The 13,948-nt window shown below is 43.8% G+C and overlaps 1 protein-coding gene across 10 annotated transcripts in view; it reads left to right on the top strand.

Annotated features, from left to right (window-relative positions):
- HERC2 (HECT and RLD domain containing E3 ubiquitin protein ligase 2) overlaps window positions 1-13,948 on the top strand; it is a 211,140-nt gene that overhangs the window by 89,472 nt on the left and 107,720 nt on the right. For all 10 annotated transcript variants that reach the window (XM_006720727.4, XM_006720726.4, NM_004667.6 and 7 more), the window contains 7 exons: window positions 2,208-2,341; window positions 2,861-3,034; window positions 3,112-3,248; window positions 3,362-3,513; window positions 4,299-4,490; window positions 10,493-10,680; window positions 12,064-12,256. In XM_006720727.4, coding sequence (XP_006720790.1) covers window positions 2,208-2,341; window positions 2,861-3,034; window positions 3,112-3,248; window positions 3,362-3,513; window positions 4,299-4,490; window positions 10,493-10,680; window positions 12,064-12,256 — 1,170 coding nt within the window. The remainder of the gene's footprint in view (window positions 1-2,207; window positions 2,342-2,860; window positions 3,035-3,111; window positions 3,249-3,361; window positions 3,514-4,298; window positions 4,491-10,492; window positions 10,681-12,063; window positions 12,257-13,948) is intronic.

The raw sequence follows: 13,948 nt of genomic DNA, 5'->3' as shown, positions 1-13,948 counted from the left end.
CTGGAAGTAGCTGTGTAAAGGTACAGAAAAGTCTTTTTGCATTAAATCCAAATTTGAATAAAAATGCTTAGAAATTATAAAATAGTTTAGAATTTAGTCACTTGTGATTATAAATAAACTACAGAAATTTCTGATTATATTCTTTTTTTTTTTTTTCTTTGAGATGGAATCTTGCTTTGTCGCCAGGCTGGAGTGCAGTGGTGCGATCTCAGCTCACTGCAACCTCCGCCTCCCAGGTTCAAACGATTCCCCTGCCTCAGCCTTCCAAGTAGCTGGGATTATAGGCACTACAGGCACCCGCCACCACTCCTGGCTAATTTTTGTATTTTAGTAGAGACGGAGTTTCACCATGTTGGCCAAGATGGTCTTGATCTCCTGACCTCGTGATCTGCCTGCCTCGGCCTCCCAAAGTGCTGGGATTACAGGCGTGAGCCACCGCGCCTGGCCTCTGATCATATTCTTATGACTTATACTGATTTACTCACAAACCTGCTTATTGACCAGTATTGATTACTGAGTTTCCGATGGGCATTTTGAACAATAAGCTTATGAAAGACTAAAGTGTGTTAGAAGCCATCCTAATTTGATTGTTCCTGAACAAACCCTACACCATAACAGCCTGTCTGAATGCGAGGGGTGCTCTGGATCCGGAAGTCACAGCAGTCACACTGCTGCGATTCCTTTAACCCAGGCATGCAGGAACTCAGCCTGGGCCCAGGAGACAGGCTGCCTCGGCATGAGGGAGAGAGACTCCACATTTGCCATCTCATATCCGTGGGTTCTGAGCCCACACTGTCACTTTTAGAGTTTCCTGTGGGTTTATAGATTTATTGTGTGTTGTTTCAAGCTGGTTTTCTTTTTTTTTTTTTGGAAATTAAGTAACTTGAAAAGATTAAGTGATTAATATTCCTGTTGCTGTGTCAGGGATCCCCGAGCCTTCTCTCAGGCTTGATGATTCACTAAAAGGACTCAGAAGAGCTGTTATAGTCACAGCTGTGTTTTTTTACTGCAAAAAGGATACAGATTAAAATTAGCAGAGGGAAGGGTGCATGGAGGGAAGTCCAGAGGAAACTAGGCACACGCTTTGGTGTCTCTCCCCAGTGGCGTCACGTGGATGTGCTTAGCTCTCCCAGCAACAGTGTCATATCATGTGTGAAGAATTGTTAACCAGGCCAGCGCACCTGAGCGAGTCTAGAGATTTTGTTGGGGGCCAGTCACATACGCAGGCAGTGCCCATGTGACTGACCTCACTCAGACTCCAGTGCCCCAATGCAAAAACAAGTGGTCCCTCGCAAGTCCCATCATTAGCATAAACTACCTGGCCAGACCACTGCCACAAGGTCCTGGGTGTCAGGTATACCAAAAAACTTCTCAGGCAGGATGTTCCAAGGGCTCAGAGCTCAGCTCCTAGAAGAAGGACCAATCCTGAAGGGACAGACCTTCCTTGGGAATTTGCAGGGTTTGAGCAACCCCGGCCTGCTATGTTAGCTCTTTACTGCCCAGGTGTATTATCATGTTGCTTATTTTTTATATTATATGCTGAGGAGATTTAGACCAAAAATTTTAAAAGAGATAAAGTATAGGGAGGAAATTCCACATATCGCAGTGAATTCAGTTGATTCAGTTACACAGTAACAGAACCACTGAACTGGACCAGGGTGGACAAGCCAGGAACTATGGGCCAAATTCTACCTCTTGCTTGCTTTGTGTTGCCCATGGACTAAGACCTTTTTTTTTTTCAGTTTGAAATTGTTTTTTAAAAATTAAAAGAAGTATATTATTTTGGCACATGAAAATTACATGAAGCTAAAATTGTAGCACCATAAATAAAGTTTTACAGGAGCACAGCCACACCTGTTGCTTTATCTGTGGTTACTTTTTGTGCTACAGCAGCAGAGTTGAGTATTTGCGACAGACTGCATGGCCTGAAAGACTCAAATGTTCACTCTCTGGCACTTGAGGAAGAGCTTGCTGGCTGCCGGGCTTCCCGTGCTTCGGGGCTTCTCCCCTCGTCGCACTCTCACTTTGTCTTTTTGTTCTGCCAGGGTGATCATTTCACTCTTGTTGTTGAGCATTGCAATTTATAATGTTGTTCAGATGTTTATTTGAATGAGATATTTGTCCTTCATGTAAATCTAAGTATTTCTTAATTTAAAATTAATATTTAAGTGTATGATTTTTATAGTGAATGATGTTTTAAAACACAGTTCCTAAGAAGCCAGAATCTACGGATGATGAAGAAAAAATTGGAAACGAAGAGAGTGATTTAGAAGAAGCTTGCATTTTGCCTCATAGTCCAATAAATGTGGACAAGAGACCCATTGCAATTAAATCACCCAAGGTGCAGTATTTTCTGTGATTCTGAGGTTGGCTGAATAGAATCATAGCATGTAGCACAGGAATCCACAGTCTTGTCCTGAGCATCTGGAGGGAGGGACGGGCGGTTGTTAGAAACATGGCCCCAGTGATGCTTCATGAACTTGGCTTATGATGTCCTGGTCAGAGCTGTAGCTGGAGAAGGGTTTCCTTTTATTTTTGGTATTAGATTGTATCATTAATTATTCACCATTCATTCCTTAAATATATTCTTTGTTCCAGAAACAGTGCTGGGCCCTGTGGCTATTAATATGAACCATAACTTAGCTTTGTATGCCAAGCTAGCCTGTTCCAACATATATTAGTATAGAGATTATAAAATCACTTATAAGTATATTTATAGCATAGTTTTAAAACCATGTATTACTAAATTTAACCAATTTAAACCTATGAGCATTATTTATATTTTACTTGAATAACTTTTAGAGCACAGTTTATTATTAAATAGGGTAGACTAATGATGAAAATTGTTTTCCTTTGTTAGGACAAATGGCAGCCGCTGTTGAGTACTGTTACAGGTGTTCACAAATACAAGTGGTTGAAGCAGAATGTGCAGGGTCTTTATCCGCAGTCTCCACTCCTCAGTACAATTGCTGAATTTGCCCTTAAAGAAGAGCCAGTGGATGTGGAAAAAATGAGAAAGTGCCTACTAAAACAGGTAACATTTGATGAGAAATGCTTCTCTGCATTGGGTAATATACATAACACTTAACTGTATGCATTGATATTTTGCAGTTGGAGAGAGCAGAGGTTCGCCTGGAAGGGATAGATACAATTTTAAAACTGGCGAGCAAGAATTTCTTACTTCCATCTGTGCAGTATGCGATGTTTTGTGGATGGCAAAGACTTATTCCTGAGGGAATCGATATAGGGTAAAACGTTAGCATATTTTTTTCTTAATTAAGGTAGCTATGGCAACAAAATGTTGTTCTGTAACAGAAGTCTGGCAGTGTCCCAAGTCAAATTCTTTATCTTTATTTGAAAGGGAACCTCTTACTGATTGTTTAAAGGATGTTGATTTGATCCCGCCTTTTAATCGGATGCTGCTGGAAGTCACCTTTGGCAAGCTGTACGCTTGGGCTGTACAGAACATTCGAAATGTTTTGATGGATGCCAGTGCCAAATTTAAAGAGCTTGGTGAGTCAATAATTGTATCAATGTTATTTTATAGTTTGCCTTTAATTATATGTTGTGGAAACTTGCAAATGCCAATTTTTGCTTTTGAGAAGATTTTAATTAAAGTTTGTACTTTGTACTTGTATAATCTATGCTGCTGTCAGCTTTCTCAGATTTTAAACAAAACTTCAAAATTTAGCAGGAGACACAATGTTGAAGTACTCTAGTATAACATTTTTACATTTTGATGTGTATCACCACATATCCTAAAGTGTCTGTGTCCTATATTAATATTTATTTCCTGGATAGTTTGAGCATCTACAGAGAGTTGATTGGATTGGTTTTGTGGAGGAAAAGTGAGACATAACTTTTATATTCGAAATGGAAGGAATGGAATAGGGCACCAGAGTATTCAGAGAGCAACATGCTAAGTCCTGTAGACAGATGGAACAACCTGTGCATAGAATGCAGGGGGTAGGCCCATCGTGCAGCATGACAGAGCTGCCCACTCTGTGGAAACCCCTGGAAAATAGTTAGATGTTTAAAGTAATTGCCCGTGCTTTCTGCATTACGTTTATTCTTGTATCCATGCACAAGAAATGTAGGTGGGTGTCAATGCTTATTAGTCAGATGTTTAGAGTAATCGCCCGTGCTTTCTGCGTTACGTTTATTCTTGCATCCATGCAGAAGAAATGTCAGTGGGTTTCAAAATAGTCAGATGTTTAGAGTAATCGCCCGTGCTTTCTGCGTTACGTTTATTCTTGTATCCATCACAAGAAATGTCAGTAGGTGCCAATGCTCATTAGGTATCCAGCCGGTTCCCCTGCAAACCATCACCAATGAGAACCCGTCAGGACCGAGCCTGGGGACCATCCCGCAAGCCCGCTTCCTCCTGGTGATGCTCAGCATGCTCACCCTGCAGCACGGCGCAAACAACCTCGACCTTCTGCTCAATTCCGGCATGCTGGCCCTCACGCAGACGGCACTGCGCCTGATTGGTAGGTCTGCACCCGCTTGAGCGCCTTTGGGAAAATGTCAAGATTTTGCTTTGATTTCTTTTCTTTTCTTTTCTTTTTTTTTTTTTTTAAAGCTTTTTGTAAATTATGGTAAGACACAAATAGGAAGTGTACCATTTTAACGTCACAATTCAGCGGTATCAAATACATTTACGATTTTCTAGAGTCATCACCACTGTCTAGTTGTAGAACTTTTTCATCACTATAAATGCACACCATTTAGCCATCAGTCCTCACTCCTCTGCCCTCCAGCCCCTGGTAGTCACAAATCTGCTTTCCCTGTCTATGGATTTGCATATCCTGGATATTTCATATAAATGGAATCATACCATTTGTGGCCTTTGTGTCTGGGTTATTTCATTTGGTATATATCAGTACTTTATTTTTATGGCTGAAAAAGATTTCATTGTATGAATATATAACATTTTGTTCATTTATCTGTTGATGGACATTTGGGTTGGTTTTGCCTTTTGACTTTTGTGAATAGTGCTGCTAGGAACATTTATATACAAATACTTGTTTGAATGCTTGTTTCTAGTTCTTTTGATTATACACCTAGGACTGGAATTACAGGGTCATATGGTACAACTATGTGTAACTTACTGAGAAACTACCAAAGTTTTCCACAGTGCCATATCATTTTTACATTCCCACCACCAGTGGGCAGGATTCCAGGGTTCCAGTTTCTCTGCTTCCCTGCCAACACTATTTTTTGTGTTTTTTTTTTTTTTCTTTTTTTTTTTGGATGAAGGCCATCGTAGTGGGTGTGAAGTGGTGTCTCATTGTGATTTTGATTTGCATTTCACTAATGATGAATGACATTGAGCTTCTTTACATGTTTGTGCTTGTTGGCCATTTGTGTATCTTCTTTGGAGAAGTGTCTATTCAAGTCCCTTTCTCTTTATTGTTTATTTTACTTTTTTTTGAGACGGAGTCTCACTCCGTCGCCTAGGCTGGAGCACAGTGGCACGATCTCAGCTCACTGCAACCTCCGCCTCCCGGGTTCAAGCGCTTCTCATGCCTCAGCCTCCCGAGTAGCTGGGATTACAGTCACACACCACCACACCTGGCTAATTTTTATATTTTTAGTAGAGATGGGGTTTAGCCATGTTGGCCAGGCTGGTCTGGAACTCCTGACCTCAGGTGATCTGCCTGCCTTGGCCTCCCAAAGTACTGGGATAACAGGCGTGAGCCACTGCGCCCAGCCCGTTTCTCCTTTTTAAATAGGGTTGTCATCACCTTGTTGTTGTACCAATAAATGCACTATATAAGTGTACCAAACCTTTAAAGAAGAATTAACACCAGTCCTCAGACTCTTTAAAAATTTCGTGTATACTAGACCTTCACAGATCTGTAGACCTTTATCAGGTATATCATTTGAGGGTATTTTCTCCTGTTCTCTGGATTGTATTTCCTTTGATAGAGAAGTTTTTTATTTTGATGAAGTTCAATTTATCTGTTTCTCTTTTGTCGTCTATGCTTTTGATATCGTATCCAAAAAGCCATTTCCAAATACAAGGTTGATGAAGATTATCCTCATGTTTTCTTCTGTAAGTTTTATAGTTTCAGCTCTTGTATTTAGATCTTTGGTCCATTTTTAGGTAATTTCTTTTACACAGTGTGAGGTAAGAGTCCAACCTGTTTTTTTTGATGATCTGATTGTTTCAATACCACTTGTTGAGGACTGTTCTTTCCCTGAAGTTCTGGGTACCCTTGGCAAAAATCAGTTGGCTGTGGATATTTAGGTTTATTTCTGGACTCTCAATTACATTATCACATTCTATATGTTGATAATTGTGCAGGTACCCCCTGTTTTGAACATTGTAGTTTTGTACTGTTTTAAAATTGAGAAGTGTGTTTTCTTTCTCAAGATGATTTTGGCTACTTTGGGTCCCTTGCATTTTCACATGAACTTCAAGGCTGGCTTTTCCATATCTGCAAAAAAGACCATTGGGATTTTTGCTAGGGATTGAATCTGTAGATTGTTTTGGGGAATAGTGCCATCTTAACAATGTTAACATCCATTCTCTGAATGTGGAATGTCTTTCCATTTATTTCTGTCCTCTTTAATTTCTTTCAGCAGTATTTTATTGTTTTACAGTTATCAGGGTAATAATGGCCTCATAGAATGAACTGGGTAGTGTTCCCATATATTCTGTTTTTAGAAGAGTTTGAGGATTGGTGTCAATTCTGCTTTAAATCTTTGGTAGAGTTGACCAGCTAAGCTTTTCTTTGTTGAAAGATTTTTAATTACTGATTCAATCTCTTTACTTGTTACGGGTCTATTCAGATTTTCTATTTCTTCTTGAGTCAGTTCGGGTAATTTATGTTTTTAGGAATGTGTCCATTTTATCTAGGCTATTTTATTTGTTGGCATACAGTAGTTCACAGTGTTCTTTTATAATCTTTTTTATTTTAAGTTGGTAGTACTGTCTCCACTTACATTTCTGATGTTAGTTATTTGCATCTTCTTTTTTTTCTTTCTTTTTTTTTTTTTTTTTTTGAGACGGAGTCTTGCTCTCTTGCCAGGCCAGAGTGCAGTGGCACAGTCTCGGCTCACTGTAACCTCTGCCTCCCGGGTTCAAGTGATTCTCCTGCCTCAGCCTCCCGAGTAGCTGGGACTACAGGCACGCGCCACCACGCCCAGCTAATTTTTTTGTATTTTTAGTGGAGACGGGGTTTCACCGTGTTGACCAGGATGGTCTCGATCTCTTGACCTCGCGATCCGCCCACCTCAGCTCCCCAAAGTGCTGGGATTACAGGCGTGAGCCACCTTGACTGGCCTCTTTTTTTCTTAATTTACCAAAAATTTGTCAGATTTTTTGTTCTTGTCAGAAACCAAACTTTTGGTTTTGTTATTTTTCTATTCTCTATTTAATTTATGGCTGCTCTAATCTCTATCGTTTCCTTCTTTCTGCTTTGTATTTTTTTGTTTTTGTCTTTGTTTTGAGACAGGGTCTTACTTTTCCTTCAGGCCGAAGTACAGTGGCACAGTCATGGCTCACTGCAGCCTCAACCTCCTGGGCTCAAGTTATCCACCTGCCTCAGCCTCCCAAAGTGCTGGGATTACAGGTGTGAGGCACCACACCTGGCCTAACTTTGGTTTTTATTGTGTTATTTTTTAGTTCTTCCAGATGTAGAGTTAAGTTATTGATTTGAGATCATCTTTTGTAAATGCAGACTTTCATAGTATAATTGCCCCTTCATCCCTGCTTTTGGCGCAGCACAGAAGTTTTGGTAGTTGTGTTTTCATTCATCTCATAGTATTTTCTAATTTCCCTTGTGATTTCTTCTTTGACCCACTGGTTGTTTACTGTGTGTTGTTTAATTTTCATATACTTGTAAATTTTCCACTTTTCTTTTTTTTATTTCTCATTTCATTTTGGTTGGAGAAGGTAATTTGTATGATTTTAGTCTGTTTAAATTTAAGACTTTGTGGCCTAACATATGGTCTGGTCAGTCTAAGAGAGTGTTCTGTGGTATACTTGAGAAGAATGTGTATTCTGCTCTTTTTGGTGAGATGTTCTGTATATGTCTATTAGATCTGATTGGTTTATGGTGGTGTTCTTTGGCTAAAACTGAGATGCTGCAGGGCCAGTTATCAAAGTCACAGTGAAAAAGCAAGGTTTTCCCAAGCTCTTTTAATCACATCAGTCTTAGAGTTCACATTAATCCATTCAAAAATATGTATCAGGCCAGGCTGTAATCCTAGCACTTTGGGCGGCTGAGGCGGGTGGGTCGCTTGAGCTCAGGAGTTTGAGACCAACTTGGGCAACATAGAGAAACCCTGTCTCTACAAAAAATACGAAAACTAGCTGGGCATAGTGGTGTGTGCCTATGGTCCCAGCTACCTGGGAGGCTGAGGTGGGAGGATTGCTTGAGCCCGGGAGGCAGAGGTTGCAGTGAGCGGAGATAAAGCCACTGCACTCCAGCCTGGGCTCCAGCCTGGGCGACAAAGTGAAATCCTGTCTTGGGGGTGGGGGGAATCTTTCTATCTATCTGTCTGTCTGTCTGTCTGTTTCTCTCTCTCTCTGTGTGTGTGTGTGTGTGGGTGTGTGTGTGTGTATAATTTTTTAATTTATATATTTATATGTTGTGTTAAATATATATTTTAATATGTGTATTACAGCTGAAAATAATAATCTAGTAAGGGTTATATCTGATTTCTTGAGGCCTCATTAGCAACCAAAAGTTGCATTTAAAAATTACAAAAGCATATCTCCATCGAGAAATGGCCTTTTTATGTTGTCTACTTTTTTCCCAGAGGTTCCAATAAGTAACAATCACAGCACAAATCATTAAGTATGGGGACTTGTTCTGTTGATAGTATTCATGTGTTTAAATTTCATCTGGCCCACTGGCTGCAAAAAGCAAGGAAGTTGTGTCTCATGAATATCTGTCTATATTTGCGGCCTGCCCTGATCAGGGTATCCTTCTTGTCATTTAAGAAATCATAAGCATATAATATTTTATACCAGCTTAATGTATACATCCACATGTAACAGCCAGAAAACATAAAGCTATGCAAAATGAAAAATTCCCCCAGTTTTGCTTGCAAATTTATTCAAGTCCTTAGCAATACATTCAGTCTTTACAGAGTTAACAGTATAGCTGCCCAGGGGATCCTGGGAGATCCACCTAGAATGCAACTCCTGTCCCTTCCTTGGGGCCCCTTCCTGGGGGCCCTAAAGTAGCGGCTAGGCTAAAGGAAAGGCTGTTTCCCCTGCTAGTTTATCTAAAGTTTTGCTCCAGCCCTGGGAATTGAATATCCTTTGTTGCTCTCTTGGAAGAGAGAGAAACACAAACTTTTTACATTTTTTGGTCCGCCCAAGCCCACCTTTGGGACTGTTTGGGTCTTTTTCCCGCCCACCTGGAGGAGAAAACTAAAATCAAGGGAGTTACCAGAACCACACTCCTACCCCCTCTCAGTTTAGCAAGTGGGAAAAGGGGGGTTAAAAATCTAGCCTACTCTCCTGGGGTTAGCGCTCCTATTTTCAAATCCATTGGGAAGTTTTACTGCTCTCAGGTGACAGCAGCTCGGCTTCTGTTTTGTGCTATGGATGACTCTGTAGCCACCCAGGGCACCAATTGTCAGGGGTCTCCAAGACCACCCCCAGGTTTGATGGTTGGCCAGGAGGACTCACAAGACTCAGCATGTAGTTGAACTCAGGGCTATAGTTTATTACAGTGAAGGCACACAGAGCAAAATCATGAAAAAAGGACATGGGTAAAGTCCAGAGGAAAGCAGGTACAAGCTTCCACAGGATCCACACAGGACGAGCTTAACTGCCCTGGCACTGAGCTGTGTCAGGTGCTGTCTGCCGGGAAGCTGGATAGAGACTCCAGGCCCAGGGTTTCCATTAGGGCTGATCACACGGGCACCCCCTTCCTGGCGCATACGAAGTTCCAGAACAAGGAAAGCAGGTTTCAGCACAGACCACATTGTTTGTACAGACAGTTCAGGCACAGGGAACCACACCTACTACCTAGGGAATGGGAGAGCCCTCCTGAGATCCAGACTCCAGCCGAGGGCCAGCCTGCAGCAACCCTGTCTGAGGTTGTATCTCGGGCCAGCTGTTAGCTGTCTTCTGCACAGAACCATGATTAAAGTTTGTTAGTTTCCCACTGTTAGATATTTAGGTAGTTATCTTTGTTTTTCTATTAATAAAAAATATGATGAATATCTTTCTAACTTAGTTATTTTGCTTTTTTGGGGGGAGTAATTCCTAGAAGTAGAGAGAGTAGCTTTACTGAGCATTTTAATATCTTTTATATCTTCCTAGGATATTTATGTATTTCATCCTTCCGTTTATCTTCTTTTTATCCTATATCAGTAAAATATTCATAATATTATATTGATAAAACATATAGTATGGATTGTTCAAAATTACGATCTTCATTAGTACTTTGTGAATGTTTTGTGTGTATTAAGGGGACACTGTAGCTACTTGTTGGCTCAGCTATTGTTTTTGACGCTCCATCAGGCCCCAGTTGTGACAACGTTGAGGAAGATATGAATGCTTCTGCTCAAGGTGCTTCTGCCACAGTTTTGGAAGAAACAAGGAAGGAAACGGCTCCTGTGCAGCTCCCTGTTTCAGGACCAGAACTGGCTGCCATGATGAAGATTGGAACAAGGGTCATGAGAGGTGTGGACTGGAAATGGGGCGATCAGGTACTCAGAGATTTGATGTGAACACATTAGCCACACATTAGTTATCTTCTGCACAGTTCTGTACGATATTGGTGGGTGGAAATTGGAATAATCCAGGATGTGTCAGTTGATTGATGACACAGGTGTTGGTTCCCGAGCAGCCGAAGGGAGTGAACACAAGTAGGGAATCATAAGTAGGGCATCTGAGCAGAATCAAGTCTGGAAAGAGAGGCAGCTCTTTTCAGGAAACTCACTGGCATGAGGCTCAGTTTGATGGGTCACTGGAACAAGAGTGTGAGAGTGAGCAAGAGAGTAAATCTCATTCTGAAAGTTGGTGTAGTGAAGGCTCTGAGGCAGGAAGCCCAGATGCTGCCCCTGTGGGCTGATGGCCATGTGCTGCGAAGTGCCCTGAAGCCAGTAGTTAGGGATCTACTTCATGGGCCTGTGGCCACGTTTCCATCTTCCCTCATTGCAGGTCTCTTCTAAATCTCTGCCAGGTGCCCCCAGGTGGAAGTCACTTACCACAGCCCTAGCTAAGTTAGGGCAGTGTTCACCTTCCCATGGTCTGTCTGGCTTTTCTCAGCCACGCTGGTAAGCCCCGGCTTTGTCACAGTCATCTTAGAAATAGCAGTGTCTGGAGACAGCATCCATCCTAGAAACAGCTTTCTCCTGCAGAAGTGAGAGACAGAGCTTCCCCCTGGGGCCCAGGGGAAACTGAAGCAAAGGGAATGTGGAGGTGCTGGTGCTTGTTTCAGGTTTCCGCTCTTGCAAGGCCCGTGAGGGATTGTGGGGTCAGGACTTGCTGCAAAGCCCTGTCTCTGCATTGACTCAGAGGATCCTCATTGAGATGAGATTTCCCCGACTTCCTTGGTAAAGCAGCATGAGCACGTTATTTTATGCCATTTAATTTAAAATGATGCAAGCACACATTTTGTAGGAGAGGTGAAATCTGTGTCTGGGGACAGCCCCTGACAGACAGGGTGGCATATGGCGACATCTGTGTGGCAGGTCTGGTGGGAGCCATGGAAGGACCAGGGCAGGGCACGCACCCTCCTAACTGAGGTCTGGTGGGAGCCATGGAAGGACCAGGGCAGGGCACGCACCCTCCTAACAGGTCTGGTGGGAGCCATGGAAGGACCAGGGCAGGGCATGCACCCTCCTAACTGAGGTCTGGTGGGAGCCATGGAAGGACCAGGGCAGGGCACGCACCCTCCTAACTGAGGTCTGGTGGGAGCTATGGAAGGACCAGGGCAGGGCACACACCCTCCTAACTGAGGTCTGCTGGGAGCCATGGAAGGACCAGGGCAGGGCATGCACCCTCCTAACTGAGGTCTGCTGGGAGCCATGGAAGGACCAGGGCAGGTTACGCACCCTCCTAACTGATCTCTACTTTGGCTTTCTCAGGATGGGCCTCCTCCAGGCCTAGGCCGCGTGATTGGTGAGCTGGGAGAGGACGGATGGATAAGAGTCCAGTGGGACACAGGCAGCACCAACTCCTACAGGATGGGGAAAGAAGGAAAATACGACCTCAAGCTGGCAGAGCTGCCGGCTGCTGCACAGCCCTCAGCAGAGGATTCGGACACAGAGGATGACTCTGGTGGGTGACTCAGGAAGGTGTTTAGTCCAAGGCAGCCCACAAACTGTCCAGGTGCTGGCTGCCACCACTGTCATCTGGGCCTTAGAATGGGATGTCAGGACGCACCTGCAGCTGGCGCTCTGTCCTCGGAGCCTGCAATTTAAATAAGCTCCCAGGCACCTCCGATGCAGGTGTGTGGAGTGGCTGTGGGATCCGGCGATCTGGCTGGAACTGACTTTCTGCATTTTACTCTCATGTGTGCACCCGCCCCTCTTTGAGAATGTGGTGGCCAGGCCGGGGCAGCTGCACCACCAGTGAGTCTCATGTGGTTGGCGCTGAGCCTGTGTCTGAGCGAGTGAGCCGAGGCCTGGTGGAATTGCCCTGTGGTCTCGGTCCATTGCCTCCTCCTCCAGTGAGAGCCCCTGCCCAAGCACACCCCACCTGCCACCTGCCTTTACCTTTCCTCTGTGGTCCCTGACTCTGAACTCTTCATGTAATGTGGAGTTAGTCAGCACTTTATCGCTTCTAGGGAAGCAGAGGTGAGAATTTAGGGGTGGACCAAGAAAGCTAGATCCTATCTGTGGAGATCCAGGTTGCGGGAGGAGGTTTCGTGACATTTCTTAGCTGTTCCTAAAAGACATGTGAAGCTTCACATGGCTGGGTTTGGTAATACCATCCAAGAGGCTGGGGCTGCCTCCGGAAGCACCGCAGTGCCCCCCATGGCTACAGTGTCATCAGGCTCAGAAATGGCTATTTCAGTGAGCACGAGATCTTAGAAGGTGTACTCACTAGAGAGCAGGTGGTATGGGGGCTGGAAGAGGCTATGCCATAGCGCACCGTCTGGGCTCGGGGCACACAGCTCAGATCCTGATACCACCATCTTTGACACGTCACTTCTGGGGCCTGGGTCCCTCAGGTGTGAGCAGAAGTGTTCCCTACTGCGTAGGCCTGTTAGGAGCGATGTATATGGCACCTGGAACCCTGTCCCTGAGGGCGGATGTGGTGCTGGCCGCCAGCATCCAGCCTATAGCATGCTGCCTGACACCAGTCGCTGCTTCCTCCCTCAGCCTCCCTTGCCTGCAGGAAGCAGGCCTGGCTCCCTGCCTGGGGCCTTTCCCCACAGAGGCATCAGAGCCTGGGCAGGGGTGGCCCCACGGCAGAGGGTGGCCTCATTTGCCACACATCTCCTCATCCCAAAGCCAGCCAAGCGGGCTGCATGAGCGTCTGGTCGCCCCACTCCACAGATGCCGGTGCTTTGTCCTCATCTAGGACACAGCCAGCTCATCAGAAACCAGCGCTTGACATTTGATAAGTTGTGTTTCTAAAGAAGTGAAACCTTGGAATCATTTATTGCTTCTGAGTTATATGCTAATGTTGTTTCGAGAATTATTATTTAAAAGATTCTTGAGGAAGATGGGAACAGAAAATGATCAGGGTGCACGTTTAGTGCATCCTGAGTTCCATCTTTTCTTCTTGTAAAGATCTGTTTCCCTTTCCAAAGCAGAAAAGATGACAGTTTGGGAGGTCGAGGTGGGAGGACTGCTTACCCTGCGAGGTCAAAGCTGCAGTGAGCTATGATCATGCCGTTGCACTCTAGCTTGGGAGACAGAGCCTGTCTCAAAGGAAAAAAGAACACAAAAATAAATCTCTGTACTTTCAATTTTGCGTGAACCTAAAACTGCACTAAAATTCAAGTCTTCAATAAAACAAGAA

The sequence above is a fragment of the Homo sapiens genome, chromosome 15 (assembly GCF_000001405.40).
Source record: "Homo sapiens chromosome 15, GRCh38.p14 Primary Assembly".
NCBI lineage: Eukaryota > Metazoa > Chordata > Mammalia > Primates > Hominidae > Homo > Homo sapiens.
Note: the sequence above shows the minus strand (reverse complement) of the source record. Positions and strands in the feature narration are given on the sequence as shown.